A 14,829-nucleotide genomic window follows, 5' to 3' on the forward strand; every position below is an offset into this window, starting at 1 on the left:
CTCCCGCCTTGGCCTCTCAAAGTGCTGGGATTACAGGTGTGAGCCACCATGCCCGGCCAGGAAATTACCTCTGATGTAGTACTATTATCTCATCTATAGATCATATTCAAATTTTGTCAATTGTCTCACAACTGCTCTTTATAAATGAATTTCTGATTCAGGATCTGTCTAATCCAGGATCACATGTTTAATTTAGTCATCTATGGTCTTTAGTCTTCTTTAATCTGAACAACTCCTCAGCTTTTCTTAGTCTTTTATGACCTTGCTATATTTGGAAAGCAGAAAACATTTATTTTGCAGAATGTTTATCAATTTGGGTTTGTTTGAGCTTTCCTCCTGATTGGATTTGGGTTACGCTTTTTTTTTTTTTTTTTTTTTTTTTGGAGACAGAGTCTTGTTCTGTCACCCAAGCTGGATTGCAGTGGTGCAGTCTCAGCTCACTGCAACCTCCGCCTCCCAGATTCAAGCAAGCAATTCTGTCTGCCTCAGCCTCTCGACTAGCTGGGATTACAGGTGCCTGCCACCACACTTGGCTTTTTTTTTTTTTTAGTAGAGACGGAGTTTCACCATGTTGGCCAGGCTGGTCTTGAACTCCTGACCTCAGGTGATCCACCTGCCTTGGCCTCCCAAAGTGCTGGGATTATAGGCATGAGCCAGGGTTACACAATTTTAGCAAGAATACCAAAAATGATATTGTGTCTTTCTTAATACATCAAATTAGGAGGTACATTATATCTATATTCAACTCATTATGTTTATGGGGTTTTTGCTATGCAAAAGTTTATTTTTAATCTAGTAACATTTATAAATGTTTAAAATTCAGTTTGGATTTTGAGTCACAGTTAGAAAGTCTTTCCCTACACCAAGGTTAAAGATAAATTCACCCGTGTTTTCTTGTATAATTTCACTTTTTACACTTATGCTTATGAAGAGTTTCCAATGACATCAGAAAATGCTAACATAAATGTTAGCTAGATAGGAAATGAAACTGTATGTTCAGTATGATGTCAAACTTATAAAAATAAAATTTTGTATATTAACAATGGTAATCTCTGGGTGGTGAAAGCATGGGCGTTTTTTTAATCTTTTACTAGTTTCTGTATTTTCTAAATTTACTACAGTAACTATCACTTTTATAATCAAAAAGAAGCACAACATGGTTTTTAAACAATCCCCAATATTCTCCAATGTCCCAAGAAAACATGAAAATTAGTTGAAATGACTGACATATTCCAGGAATCTCTGTATAAGTTAGCTGCTGTAAATATCAAGCCAAACACTTTAGAGAACTCCAAAAAGAATGGATCAGAATGGTTACAATAATTTTATTATGTTAGCGACAGATGTCAAACATGACATTCCTTTTAGAAACATCCTGGGAGAGAAATGAACCACTGACAGTGGAACTGCTTACATGACCTATTTGGGAGGAGAACAGTGGGACAGTTGAGAGTATGAGTGTTGGAGCCAAACAGACTTGGATGTAGCCCTGGATAACACACATGCTACCTGTGTCACCTTGAGTAAGTTAATTAGCTTCTCTCACATCAGTGTTTATTTCTAAAATAGGGATAATAACAGCACTCTCAGAGTTGATGTTTGCATTTGACGTCATACAGCGTATCAAGTACTCAGTATAGTGCAGGTGCCTAAGTGCTTAGTAAATGATCATTATTATTATTTTGACCCTTCCAGACAAGGCCACCTTCTAACCAAAAAATCACTCCAATTCCTTGAAGGGGATTCACCTCTGACCTTTTCATTGAAATCTTCTCCATTGTTTCAAGTTTCTAGTTGACCTCCCCGTATGACATGTTTTACTACCCCATGCCAAAATCTGTACAGAGCGCTTTAAAATGAAAAGTGGCTCTATTACAAACACTTGCAAGAGTAGAAAAAACAGCACTGGACAGATACTAAGATAGGAGGAAAACTGTTGGAGTTACTTGCAGTGGCCAATCCTATAAATCTCCTATACTGGAGAGGTTAATATGCTGAAGTGAGAGGCATCTGATTAGTGTGTGTGTGTGTGCGTCTGTGTGTATGTTTTCTATCTTCCCAGCACAAATTCATGAAAGGTCTCACTGCTAACCATTGAGATTGGAAATTTTCACCAGGCAAGGTGGCTCATGCCTGTAATCCCAGCACTTCGGGAGGCCGAGACAGGCAGATCACCTGAGGTCAGGAGTTCGAGACCAGCCTGTCCAACATGGTGAAATCCCATCTCTACTAAAAATATAAAAGTTAGGCATGGTGGCACACACCTGTAATCCCAGCTACTTGGGTGGCTGAGGCAGGAGAATCACTTGAACCTGGGAGGAGGAGGTTGCAGTGAGATGAGATCTCGCCATTGCACTCCAGCCCGAGTGACAAGAGTGAAACCTCATCTCAAAAAAAAAAAAAGAAAAGAAATTTTTATGGGAAGATGCCATCCATTAAATGGAATGGACTTGGTTACTATCAGGACTTCCTGATGATGTCAGCATAGAAGATAGCTCATTTCTCAGGACTTCCCATTGCGCTGTTACTGACAGGAAAAGCAAAACTGTCTTTGGCCCAACAGGCCAGCGCCGTTTATTTTATAATGTGATGGCATAAACTCGGCTGCTTATTTGTGTATTTATATAATTGGATGATTTGTAATGGGGGAGCCTCTCTCATTAGTGCAGCTTATAAAGACTCCCCCATAAACTGTTTCAGTGCTCATTTTTAGAATCATGAATAAAAATTTAGCTGATATCACTCTAACTGCAATTCTGATTTGGTTCAAAGACTCTTTTCAAAAAGGCGTACTTTTACTTATGTAGACTTAGCAGATGGCGTAATTATAAACTTAGGGTTGCAGAACTAGAAGTCTCTTGGCAACATCACGCTGTTTATCCTTTGTATACAAAGCATGGAAACCAAACCACAACTCAAAGAATCACCAAGAGTATCTGATTCTTAGCTGTGGTTTAGCTTCATAATTGGTCGAGCAAACCAACGTTGTCGTACCCAAGTGTATAAGTGTTGTTACAATAAAAAGGCAGTCCACAGCAGCACACAGAAAGGCTTTTTGTTATCTTAATATGTGATCTGCTAAGTAAACAGTATATTATGTTGATGTGTATCCTCTGTAAGAAAATGAATAATTTGAACTTCAAAGGATCACAAAGACTTATAATAGAAATATATTAAGTGTTGAAACTAAGATCTAATTAAGTAGCATGGTTTAGAAGGCATCCGTTTAGCATTTGATTGAAAAAATCTTCATTCTTAAATTTTGCTTTCTTTTTTCTTTTCTTCTTTTTTGGAAGACCTAGTGACCAATGGATTAATCAATAAACCCCAATCCCTAGAGAGTCGAGAGCGACAGAAGTCATCAGATATCCTGGAGGAACTAATTGTTCAAGGAATTATACAAAGCCACAGCAAAGTATTTAGAAATGGAGAATCATATGATGTCACGGCAAGTAATTTTGTAATTAACATTAGCTTATAGTTAAAATTAGCAATAGAATATGATTGATCATGAGTCATTATTTCCAGCATATGCAAGTTACAATACAGATAACAGCATTTATTTAAGTCAGATTTTTCTCCCTTAAATTCCCCCCACATCTCTGCACACCATCTCATATGGTTTGGTTCTGTGCTCCCACCCAAATCTCACCTTGAATTGTAATCCTCAGGTGTCAAGGGCGGGACCAGGTGGAGGTAATTGAATCATGGAGGTGGTTTCCCCTATGCTGTTCACATGATAGTGAGTGAGTCTCACAAAATCTGATGGTTTTATAAGTGTCTGGCATTTTCCCTGCTTGCACTCATTCTCTCTCCTACCACCTTGTGAAGAGGTGCCTTCCACCATGATTGTAAGTTTCCTGAGGCCTTCCCAGCCATGTAGAACTCTGAATCAATTAAACCTCTTTTCTTTATAAATTACCCAGTCTCAGGTATTTCCTTATAGAAATGTGAGAACAGACTAATACACCACCCTTCTTTGTGGACTCAGAAATTGCTCCAATTATTAATGATTAATTGATCCAGTAAAACACGTATTGGGTTTCACTAAATTTGAGAAACAATAGGCCCCACTGAATAACATACTTTCATTCTTTTGACAATTTTTCTTGAGCACTACCTATGTAATAGGCATTGTACAGGGCATTAGAAATGTAAAACTGAATCTGATTTATTCAGTAAGAAAATAGGCCTGACAAGTGTTTGAGGTGATGGATATGCTAATTACCCTGACTTGATCATTACGCATGTATCAAAACATCATACTGTGCCCTATAAATATATACAATTATGTGTCCATTAAAAATAAAGTAAAACTTTAAAAAAGAAAATAAATAGGACTAAATGCCAAAGCTAAAACAAATATGGCTATACATTTATCCATATGCACACCCCAAAATCAAACATGAGGAATTAAATAGAATTTCAGAAATTGCTGTACTATTATTTTTCTTTGTTAATTTATCCTGATTAATCTGTCATAGTTTTTCTTCAGCGTGAATAATATTTTTACTCTGGTTTTAACTAGCTTGGCTAAAGTCTAGAGTTCTAAATTTTTTTTTTTTTTTTTGAGATGGAGTCTTGCTTTGTCACCCAGGCTAGAGTGCAGTGGCACGATCCTGGCTCACTGCAACCTCTGCCTCCTGGGTTCAAGCGATTCTCCTGCCTCAGCCTCCTAGGCAGCTGGGGTTACAGGTGCCCACCATCAAGTCCAGCTAATTTTTGTATTTTTAGTAGAGACAGGATTTCACCATCTTGACCAGGATGGTGTTGAACTCCTGACCTCGTAATCCACCTGCCTCAGCCTCCCAAAGTTTTGGGATTACAGGTGTGAGCCACTGCATCTGACCGAGTTCTAAATTTTTAAATAAATTCTGCATAAACCTGTGAAGAAGATAGCAGACTTAGGTGTTGCTGTTATTTTGTTTTGTTTTCTTGTTTGTTTGGGTTTTTTTTTAAGCCAATGCTCCCAAGCACTACCAGTAGTCCTTGAAGTACAGGCAGAAGAGAGAAAGCGAAAAAAAAAGAAATAACAATGAAAAGAAGCCAGAGAATAAATGAATGAAAAAGAAAAGAAAGAAAAGGAAACGGTGGAAATAGAGACCAGAAATTACCCCAAAGGCTACTTAATGGTTGTCTATCCCTGTGTTGTAGGGAAAACAGTCCATTCGGAATTAAAAACTCATTATTTAAATCAAATTTGCCACCTAGACTGAGTCACTTAATGTTTGAATAAAGTTAATTTCCTTCTTTGTGTATGGGGAATGTTGAGAACTCATGAATAAAAGCCAAAGTGGCATTTTCTTTTGAAAAAGGAAAATAAATCCTGCAGAAAGTATTTGGGGGAAAGGAAAGGAGATTGCCAAACCTTGTGAATAACATTATCAGGCTGCCAATAATAAGAGGATGTCGGGGGGCGGGGGGAGGATGGAAAGGAAGGTAAAAATGGATTATATAATGGAAAAGATAATGCCAACATAATGACAATTTACATTTGCACAACGCTAGCATGATACAAGGCATTTTGGAGTGCCTTATCTTATTTGAAAGTGCTAGAAGAAGGGATGGGTTTTTAATATCAAAGGGGAGAGGAAAGATTTTTTTCTAGCTGTAGGTGAGTCTGTAGGGGTCAGGAAAAAAGAAGGCATGTCAAAAGAAAAAGGAAAGCAAGTCTGAGAGGAGGCAGATAGATTGTGGAAACATTCAGTAGCTAAGCAATGTCTTCTTAAGGGAAATGCTATAGACACTTCGATGTCTACATACATACACCAGTAGGAATCACATTAAAACATTCTCCGTGATTCAATTGCCAGAGATGAATGAGTTCTGACTTAGACTTTGCAATGGAGCCTGCAAGGTTAATTAATATAAACTACCTTGTGAAAGAGATGCACCTTTAAAAAAATAATAACTGTGGGCTGGACTTTTAATAACATCATTAAGTGAACCAAAGATGAAGACTATTTTTCATACTATGTAGGCATATAGAATGGTTGTTGGGAACGTTCTCAAAAGGATTTAAATGTGACAGCCTTCAGGAATAGCACAATTTTGTTTTTTTGGCTTTGGTATTAGGCCAAGATATCCCAACATAAGCCAGGCTTGCAACAGACCAGGCAGCAACACACAGCTCTCTTGTTTCATCGCCTAATCCAGTGGTCCTTAACCCGCCGGTACATTGGAGTCACCTGGGGATATTTCAAACATCCCAGTGCCTAGGTACCACTTCCGACCACACAGCCTGGGCGTGTGGCCCTGCTTTCACACTTCTGAAAGCTCCCAGGTGATTCCCATGGGCAGCCCGGTTGAGAACTACTGCCGTGAAGTTTCACCAAAACTCTACACAACGCTCTCAAATCCATTACCAAAGCTGGGAAGGGTTAAAGCTTTTGAAATCATTCTTGATTCCCTATTCATTGTGAAAGAGAATTCTGAAATATTCCTGAAAATATACCATTTCAGGAATAGGAACTAAGATTATACTCAGGAAGCCTAAGGAAATAAAAGAGATGCAGTTTCTGTGTCACGGATAAAACTTCTTTCAATTCAGAGGTAGCTGAGAACATATGTGTGTCAGACACCAGGTGTCTTGCATATTTTGGGAAGAGTTATGAGGCCAATGTAAAAAGATGAGAATGAATATTGAAGGACTGAGAGGGGAACCATATTAAGAATGGAAATATTATTAGATAATATTAATCATTAATAATATTAATACTTTGAATATCTAATGTTTAATAAGTTTTTTCAAACCCAGACTGATCAAACTGGCTAAAAACAAAACAAGAAGTCAAGGGAAACAAAAAAGGGATAGTCAAAACAAAGATATTATTATGTCAGCAGTTACTACAATGTGGTAAATCTTAACAGACATGTAAATATTATTTCTTCACTGCTCTAGGGAATAACATTCTTTTAAATAAAATATTATGGGAAAAATAGAATAAATGTGAAAATACTTTGAGTCTCATGCTCTACCAGCAGAACTAGCCAAGCAGCCAAAGAGAATAGTTTAAAAATAAGACTTCTTATGTGGGCCAATAGTATATTTACATACAAGGGCATTTCAGACTTAGATCTGGCTGCTTCTTAGCCAGGTCATTATCTTTCATTGAGTTATTTAGAGTGAAATTGAATAAAGGATGTTGAAAATTGAGGGTTCACCTTCATGAAGGTCCCTCATGAAGGTCCCTCTTCCGAATCGGGGGCATCCCCCATAAGCCAGTATCTCCCTAGAGGTAAGGGGAGGATCTGTGTCCACCACAGAGGCCCCTTTGTCTTTTTTCTTAATTTTCATCATAATCTTGCTGGTGAATACCACAGTAATTCCATAGTACTCTCTGGATAACCAGCTTTCGAGATGTTTATGCGAGAATATTTTATGTTTACTTAAGAGTTAAAATCAGGCTGGGCAAGATGGCTTATGCCTGTAATCCCAGCACTTTGGGAGACCAAGACAGGCAGATGGCTTGAGCCCAGGAGTTTGAGATCACCCTGGGCAACATGGTAAAACCCCATCTCTACCAAAAAAAAAAAAAATTAGCTGGGCATGGTGGTGTGCACCTGTAGTTACAGCTACTTAGGAGGCTGAGGTTGGAGGATCACTTGAGCCTGGAAGTTCGAGGCTGCAATAAGCCTTGATTATACCACTGCACTCCAGCCTGGGTGAAACAGCGAGACCCTGTCAAACAAAAAACCCAATTAAAAAAAAAAAAAGTTAAATGTGCTAGGCATGGTGGCTCACATTTGTAATCCTAGGGCTTTACGAGGCTCAGCTGGGAGCGTCCCTTGAGGCCAGGTGTTCAAGACCAGCCTGGGCAACATGGTAAGATGCCATTTCTACAAAAAAAAAAAAAAAAAATTAAGAGTTAAAGTGATATGTAAGAAATATAAGATTAAGAAGGTAAGTATCAGATTGTTGAGGGAATCTTTCAGTGTATTTTTAAACATTCTAATTAGACTTAACTGACTATATTGTAAACAAACATTGGTTTTACGTACACATGTCGATATGTATATGGATAGGTATAGACCTCTTTAGAGAGATGTGATTGGCTCTCATTTATCCACATAGGTATTATTGAGTTCGTCTTTTATCCCAAATTCATTTCTCCCCGCCACTTAGCACATCCTGGGTCTCCCTACCTGAGGCTCTGTGAATTCACTATTGACCTCTGTGTCTGGTCAAAGTTTATTCCCTTCTCTGTGTGACTTCTATACTTGGGAACCTGAAGTGTACTTGGAGAGTTTGTTCACATTGCATAAGAGTCTCTACCATTATTTGTTGAACCTCCTGGAGAATTTTTTAAGGAGGAGGAAGTTGACTGAGTTAGGACTCAATAACGCCAGCTAATGATCGGAGTGACCTTCCCCAGGAGGTCTAACAGTGATAAAACAAGAATGAAGGGCTGTTTTGCAGGATTGGCCTATTCTATCCACAAGACTCCTTTAAGGAAACAAAATGAAGACAGGTTCATCCGTAGGTCAATAGTTAATTAAGAAAGCTCTGAGGAATACACAGTGTATGTAAGAAGTAAAATATACAAGTTAGTAGCTAGAAACAGGACTCTAATCTAATTGCAGCATTTTGAACTTGGCAGTCCTCTGAAAGTATTCTTTAAGAAAATGATTGAACTGGTAACTTCTGTAGGTTGATTTTGTTGTTGTCAATGTGTTGTTGTTTCCACTGGTAACACCTCTCTAAGCATAAGGTGATCATTGTTTTATATATATATATATATATATATATATATATATATATTTTTTTTTTTTTTTTTTTTTTTTTTTTAAAGAGACAGGGTCTGACTACATTGCCCAGGCTGGTCTTGAATTTCTGAACTCAAGTGATCCACCTGCCTTGGCCTCCCAAAGTGCTGGGATTACAGCGTGAGCCACTGCGCCCAGCTCATTGTTAACGTTTTTAAGTTCCAACATTTGATAAATTCTGACTTCATAAAATTCAGTTGTAAAGAATACAGATATCTTTCTACAGGTTTTTTATTTTTTTACTTAAAATATGGAACTCAAGAAAGAACATGGCTTGCACAGGTAGGATTAACTTCCTCTGTGGGGAGGATCATTTTAAGATTAAGCCACGGGAAGAGGTGACCAAAACAGAAAAATCCAAGCTCTCTCAGAACTACTGATCTCAGAATTTTAGTCAAGGTTCAGGCTCCTATGTATAGCCTAATCTGGCATTTCTTTAGTGGATCTTGGATTACTACTTAATTTTCTTTTAGCCTTCTACGCATGAACATCCCTAAAAAATCATTTTCTTGCTAATTTCACAGTATCTCTAGTTGAGCCACCGTAGCAAGTATTTCCCTCTTTTCAGCGGGTGGTCTTTGCCAGCAGGAAACTTAGGAGCCAATTGTCATAAAAATAATACAAAATGATGATGGGAGAGGGAACTTCCTTTGACAAACATTCCACGGTTTTCAAGCAGTGAAAAACTTTGCACCCCATAAACCGTCCAATGGTTCTAAAGGAGCCAAAATGTCAATAAATGTTTTTTCTTTAGGAGACTTCCTGAGAATCATAGATTTTAAAGCTGAAAGGAAGCTTCACAGGCCTCTTGCCCCTTGCTGCTTCACAGTTGAGAAAATTGAGTCCAAAGAGAAGAGCTGCCTGGGTCTCCACTATGTGCTGGGCATTCCTGCCGCCCCAGAGTTGAAGCTCATGCCTGCTGCCTGATGATCCCCCCGGCTGTAGGCTCTCCTTCCTCCCCTCTGTGCTTTCGCCCCTTTCCGCTTTGTCCTGGTTATGAGTTTGTGTTCTGCCTTTGGAAGAAGTCACTGCTTTGACTGAATGAAAAGTAGCTATCATTTGCAGAGTGGCTACTTTATCCTTTTCTTTCTTTTTTAAAACCAATCCCAAAATATATGTTATTAAACTTATTTTACAAATGAGGAAACCATAGCTTGCAGAGTTTAAGGAATCATAGAGAGTCAATGCACACGCTGGGCGTGGAGGCTCACGCCTGTAATCCCAGCACTTTGGGAGGCTGAGGCAGGTGGAACACCTGAGGTCAGGAGTTCAAGACCAGCCTGGCCAACATGGTGAAACCCCGTCTCTACTAAAAATACAAAAATTAGCTGGGCGTGGTGGCACACACCTGTAATCCCAGCTACTTGGGAGGCTGAGGCAGGTGAATCGCTTGAACCCGGGAGGCGGAGGTTGCAGTGAGCCAAGATCGTGTCAATGCACTCCAGCCTGGGTGACAGGGCAAGACTAGGTCTCAACAAAAAACAAAAACAAAAAAACCCGTCATTCCATAGCCCAGCCAGGATTCAAACCCAGGGCTGACTAAGTCTCCGTCTGGTGCCTTGTTTTACTCTGCTAAACTGCCTCTCTTTGATTTATTTTCTTGGTACCTATAGCATTATAGTCTGGAGAAACAGTCTTTTAGAAATTACAATGAATATTAATAGCTCCTTTGTCTTTAAAAAAAGTCTTTAGAGAAATTATCTGGAACAATATTCAGTTCATTTTGTAATGCAGCCTTGGAGTTAACTACCCCCACCCAGTTGTAATAAATCTATATTTATATAGAAAGATGTCCATATTAAGTTAATTGAAGAAAGTTAATTGCAGAGCAGTGTATATAGTATAACTCCATTTAGGTTTTGTTTAACATTACAGATATCCTTAACATATATATGTGCAGAGTAGATATCTGGGAAGACACACACTGAACTCTTTACAAAGGTTCATGCTAAGGACTGGGATTGGGGGCCATGTGGTTAAATAGAGGATAAGGAGATGATTTATGTATCAGTTATATTTTTTATAATCAATCTATATTATCTTAAAACTAATTTTTAAAACAAAACACCTTAAAACTTTCTTCATAAATACTTTATGACAATTTTACTTATTTTGGAACTAGAAATTATAATTAGAAAGTCATCATTACTGCTTTGAACTGTTGAAAGGGTAGTTGATCATATGAAGTGGGATTTTTCCCCCGCTGTCATGAAAATGTTTGTCAAGTTCCTCCAGCAAAGCCCAGAACAGAGTTGTTGTTCAGTAATCGTTAATTATCTCTTTCTACCACAAAACCAGAAGCAATGAGAACTAATCTCTATCCCAGATGAAAGTAACTTGTAGCTTGTGGAATATTATAAAATCATCAGGTTGAACTCTTCACCTTAAACTACAAATTCACCCCCATTCTCCACTGCTTTTCATCTTATATTCATTCTCAAGATTTTTTCCTTCTAAGGGTTCATCTTCTATGCAGTCTGAGAACACCTGCATTCATAGGGCCTTTTTGTAATAGCCTGGTGCTTTTAAGGCATCTAAAAGATCTTATCGTTATAATTCTGTTGTTATCAACTTTCACGTTGGTTTTTTTAATCTGCGCCTGGAAAGTTAGATTTTTAGAATTTACTTTATTCATTTATTTATTTATTTATTTAGAGACAGGGTCTCGCTCTGTTGCCAAGGCTGGAGTGCAGTGGAACGATCTTGGCTCACTGCAACCTCCACCTCCTGGGCTCAAGCGATCCTCCACCCTCAGCCTCCCAAGTAGCTGGGACTACGGGCACACACCACCATGCCTGGCTAATTTTTTGTATTTTTGTAGAGACAAGGTTTCACTATGTTGCCCAGGCTGGCCTCAAACTCCGGAGCTCAAGCAGTCTTCCCACCTTGGCCTCCCAAAGTGCCGGGATTACAGGCATGAGCCACTGCACCCAGACTAGAATTTACATTTTAAACTGTTTATTCTAACTCTTTTGCCCTTCTCTTCTGCCAGTGAATATGATTGTTTCTTCATGTAAAAAGATGTTTTATTCCAGTTGACTACGACTGAGAAGCCATTGAGAAAGCCACCTTCCAGACTGAAAAAACTCAAGATCAAAAAGCAAGTGAAGGATTTCACAATGAAGGACATCGAGGAGAAGATGGAGGCTGCCGAGGAGCGCAGGAAGGTAGTGAGCTCTCAGATGCTCTAGGCTTGAGGAGTTCGCTGTCTGTTAAAATGATCTCACCCCAGAGCTTTCCTATCAGCAGTTTTAAGACAAACTGCATGGATCTATAATCAGTATTTTTTTTATTATTTTACTAATTTTTTTAAAAGACAAAGTCTCACTATGTTGCCCAGGCTGGAGTACAGTGGCATGCTCAGAGCTCACTGCAATCTTGAACTTTTGGGCTCAAGCGGTCCCCCTGTCTCCGCCTCCTGAGTAGCTAGGACTACAGGCCCATACCACTACATGAGGCTGATTTAAAAAAAAAAAAAAAATTGTTGGCCAGGCGCGGTGGCTCACGCCTGTAATCCCAGCACTTTGGGAGGCCGAGGCAGGCGGATCACGAGGTCAGGAGATTGAGACCATCCTGGCTAACACGGTGAAACCCCGTCTCTACTAAAAATACAAAAAATTAGCCGGGCGTGGTGGCGGGCGCCTGTAGTCCCAGCTACTCGGGAGGCTGAGGCAGGAGAATGGCGTGAACCCGGGAGGCAGAGCTTGCCGTGAGCCGAGATTGTGCCACTGCACCCCAGCCTGGGTGACAGAATGAGACCCCGTCTCCAAAAAAAAGAAAAAAAAAATTGTTTAGAGATGGGGTCTCATTATGTAGCCCAGGCTGGTCTTAAATTTCTGGCCTCAAATGATTCTCCTGCCTTGGTCTCCCAAAGTGTTGGGATTACAGACATCAGCCTCTGTGCCTGGCCTGTAGCTAGGATTTTAACGATCTTTATGCTTTTTATTATATGCTATATGTTTCGTGGTTTTTCTTAAAAATTTCCTTTCTGTTGTAAAGGAATAAAGCAGGTTGGGTGAAAACTACGGTTTCATCCATATAGCCTAAGTAAGCAACATCCAGTTCTTGGAATTAAATGAAGTACGGAGTGTTCTTCATATGGAAAAAGAGAAACTTCAGTTGAGGCTGGGGGCAGGAGTAAAGGCAGGGTTGAGGTGCGGCGTTAAACTGAGAGAAGCTGCTGCAGAGCATCAGGCTGCATTACTCCTGCTGCATTTTCACCAAGGGCCCCCACAGCCCTCCACGCGCCCTTGGCCAGACCCAGCCTTCACAGCTGGGTCTGACAGCCTTCATTTCCCAGCTCTCTAATTGGCCTATCAGAGAGCAAGGACCAGACTCCAAGCTCCATGAGGGCAGGCCCCGTGTCTGCCTTCTTCAACAAGAGTTTCTCAACAAATGTCTGTTATTTGACTGAATGATGACATAGAGAAGCCATGAATGTTCAATACAAGCAACATTAATCACAACTTGGAGAAAGTTATTCACGCTCTTTTTCATTCTTTAATACTGCATTTCAGACTAAAGAAGAAGAAATAAGAAAAAGGCTACGGAGTGACCGACTTTTGCCTTCAGCCAATCACTCAGATTCAGCTGAATTAGATGGGGCCGAGGTTGCATTTGCCAAAGGACTTCAAAGGGTGAGGTCTGCTGGATTTGAACCATCTGACCTGCAGGGAGGAAAACCATTGAAGAGGAAGAAGAGTAAATGTGATGCAACCTTGATTGATAGAAACGAAAGTGATGAAAGTTTTGGGGTCGTGGAGTCAGACATGTCCTACAACCAAGCAGATGACATAGTCTACTAAGCCATTTTTTGTGAATTTCATAAGAAAGCATTCATTCTCCCCATTTGTGACATTTGTAGTATGTCTCATATTCTTTGACTGACTGACCTCATTCCACTGGGATTTCTGCCTTGGGCTTAAGGATGATTGTGTGGGCTGCACAGGCTGAAGGTTAGTTGAGTAAATTAAGTAGCTATGCTAGCTTTTAAAAAAAGAGCGAGGGGGAGACTTGACCAGCATAGATATTTGGCACTCTCCTTTGTGTGGCTTCAAACATTATGGAGATGTCTTTAATTCATTTATAAGTGCCTTCAGTTTACATTAATAAGTTCGTGCCAAATGAAATCCTTCCTGTTTACTCCTGCCTTGTGGCGGGGTCCATCCTCTGCTGCTCCTTTAAAACAAATTGCATGGATTTGTATTAAGTATTTTAATGGCTTATATGTTTTTTATGCTGTATGTCTATGGTTTTATAATTTTTTTCTCTGTGTTGTGAAGGAATAAAGCAATGTCTTGAAGTTGGCTGAATTACAGTTTTATCCACATAGTTTAAGTTAGCAATATCTAATTCTCAGAATTACATAGAGTTTTCTTCTTGTGAAAACAGAAGAACTTCAGTTGAGGCTAGGGATGGAAGGAAGTTGTGAGGGTGCGGGTAGACTGGGAGTCAGCCCTGCTACCAGTGTCTGTCTTCCCTGCAGACATGCTGAGCTGAGAAGCTGCTGGTCCTCATCTTATTGAATTATACCTTGGTTCTTCCCTCCCTTACCACTCACATCCAATCAATTATCTGGTCTTATGATTCTAGATGCTTTTTTTTTTTTTTGGAGACAGGGTCTCACTTTGTCACCCAGGCTGGAGTACAGTGACATGATCTTGGCTCACTGCAGCCTTGACCTCCTGGGGCTCAAGCGATCCTCCCACCTCAGATCCTCAAATAGCTAGGACTACAGGCATGCATCACCACACCTGGCTAATTTTTTATAGAGACGGGGTTTCGTCATGTTGCCCAGGCTGGTCTCAAACTTCTGAGCTCAAGCAATCCACCCACCTCATTTGCTTGCAAACACATATCAAAAATCAGTGAGTGGCAAGTGACAATGAAGCTGTATCTGGTGGCAGGCTTTAGAGTGGCAAGTGAGTTGATGTTCTTGAATCGTACAGCTGCATCTGGTGGCCTTAAAAGTATGTTTGAGGCAACTTCAAATCTCCATATGTTCTGAATTAAAGTCCAGGCGGAATATCCTGACATCGCCACAAAAGCACTGAAAAGCCTGCT

At 39.8% G+C, this 14,829-nt stretch overlaps 1 protein-coding gene across 1 annotated transcript in view; it reads left to right on the forward strand.

Annotated features, from left to right (window-relative positions):
* The window catches only part of STMND1 (stathmin domain containing 1), a 29,329-nt gene extending 15,261 nt beyond the window's left edge, over window positions 1-14,068 (forward strand). Inside the window, exons 3-5 of the mRNA NM_001190766.2 lie at window positions 3,297-3,448; window positions 11,802-11,933; window positions 13,284-14,068. Of these exons, the coding sequence (NP_001177695.1) occupies window positions 3,297-3,448; window positions 11,802-11,933; window positions 13,284-13,571 (572 nt within the window). The 3' untranslated portion in view covers window positions 13,572-14,068. The remainder of the gene's footprint in view (window positions 1-3,296; window positions 3,449-11,801; window positions 11,934-13,283) is intronic.
* Window positions 14,069-14,829: the final 761 nt, after the last annotated feature.

Source organism: Homo sapiens, chromosome 6 (assembly GCF_000001405.40).
Source record: "Homo sapiens chromosome 6, GRCh38.p14 Primary Assembly".
NCBI classification, from domain to species: domain Eukaryota; kingdom Metazoa; phylum Chordata; class Mammalia; order Primates; family Hominidae; genus Homo; species Homo sapiens.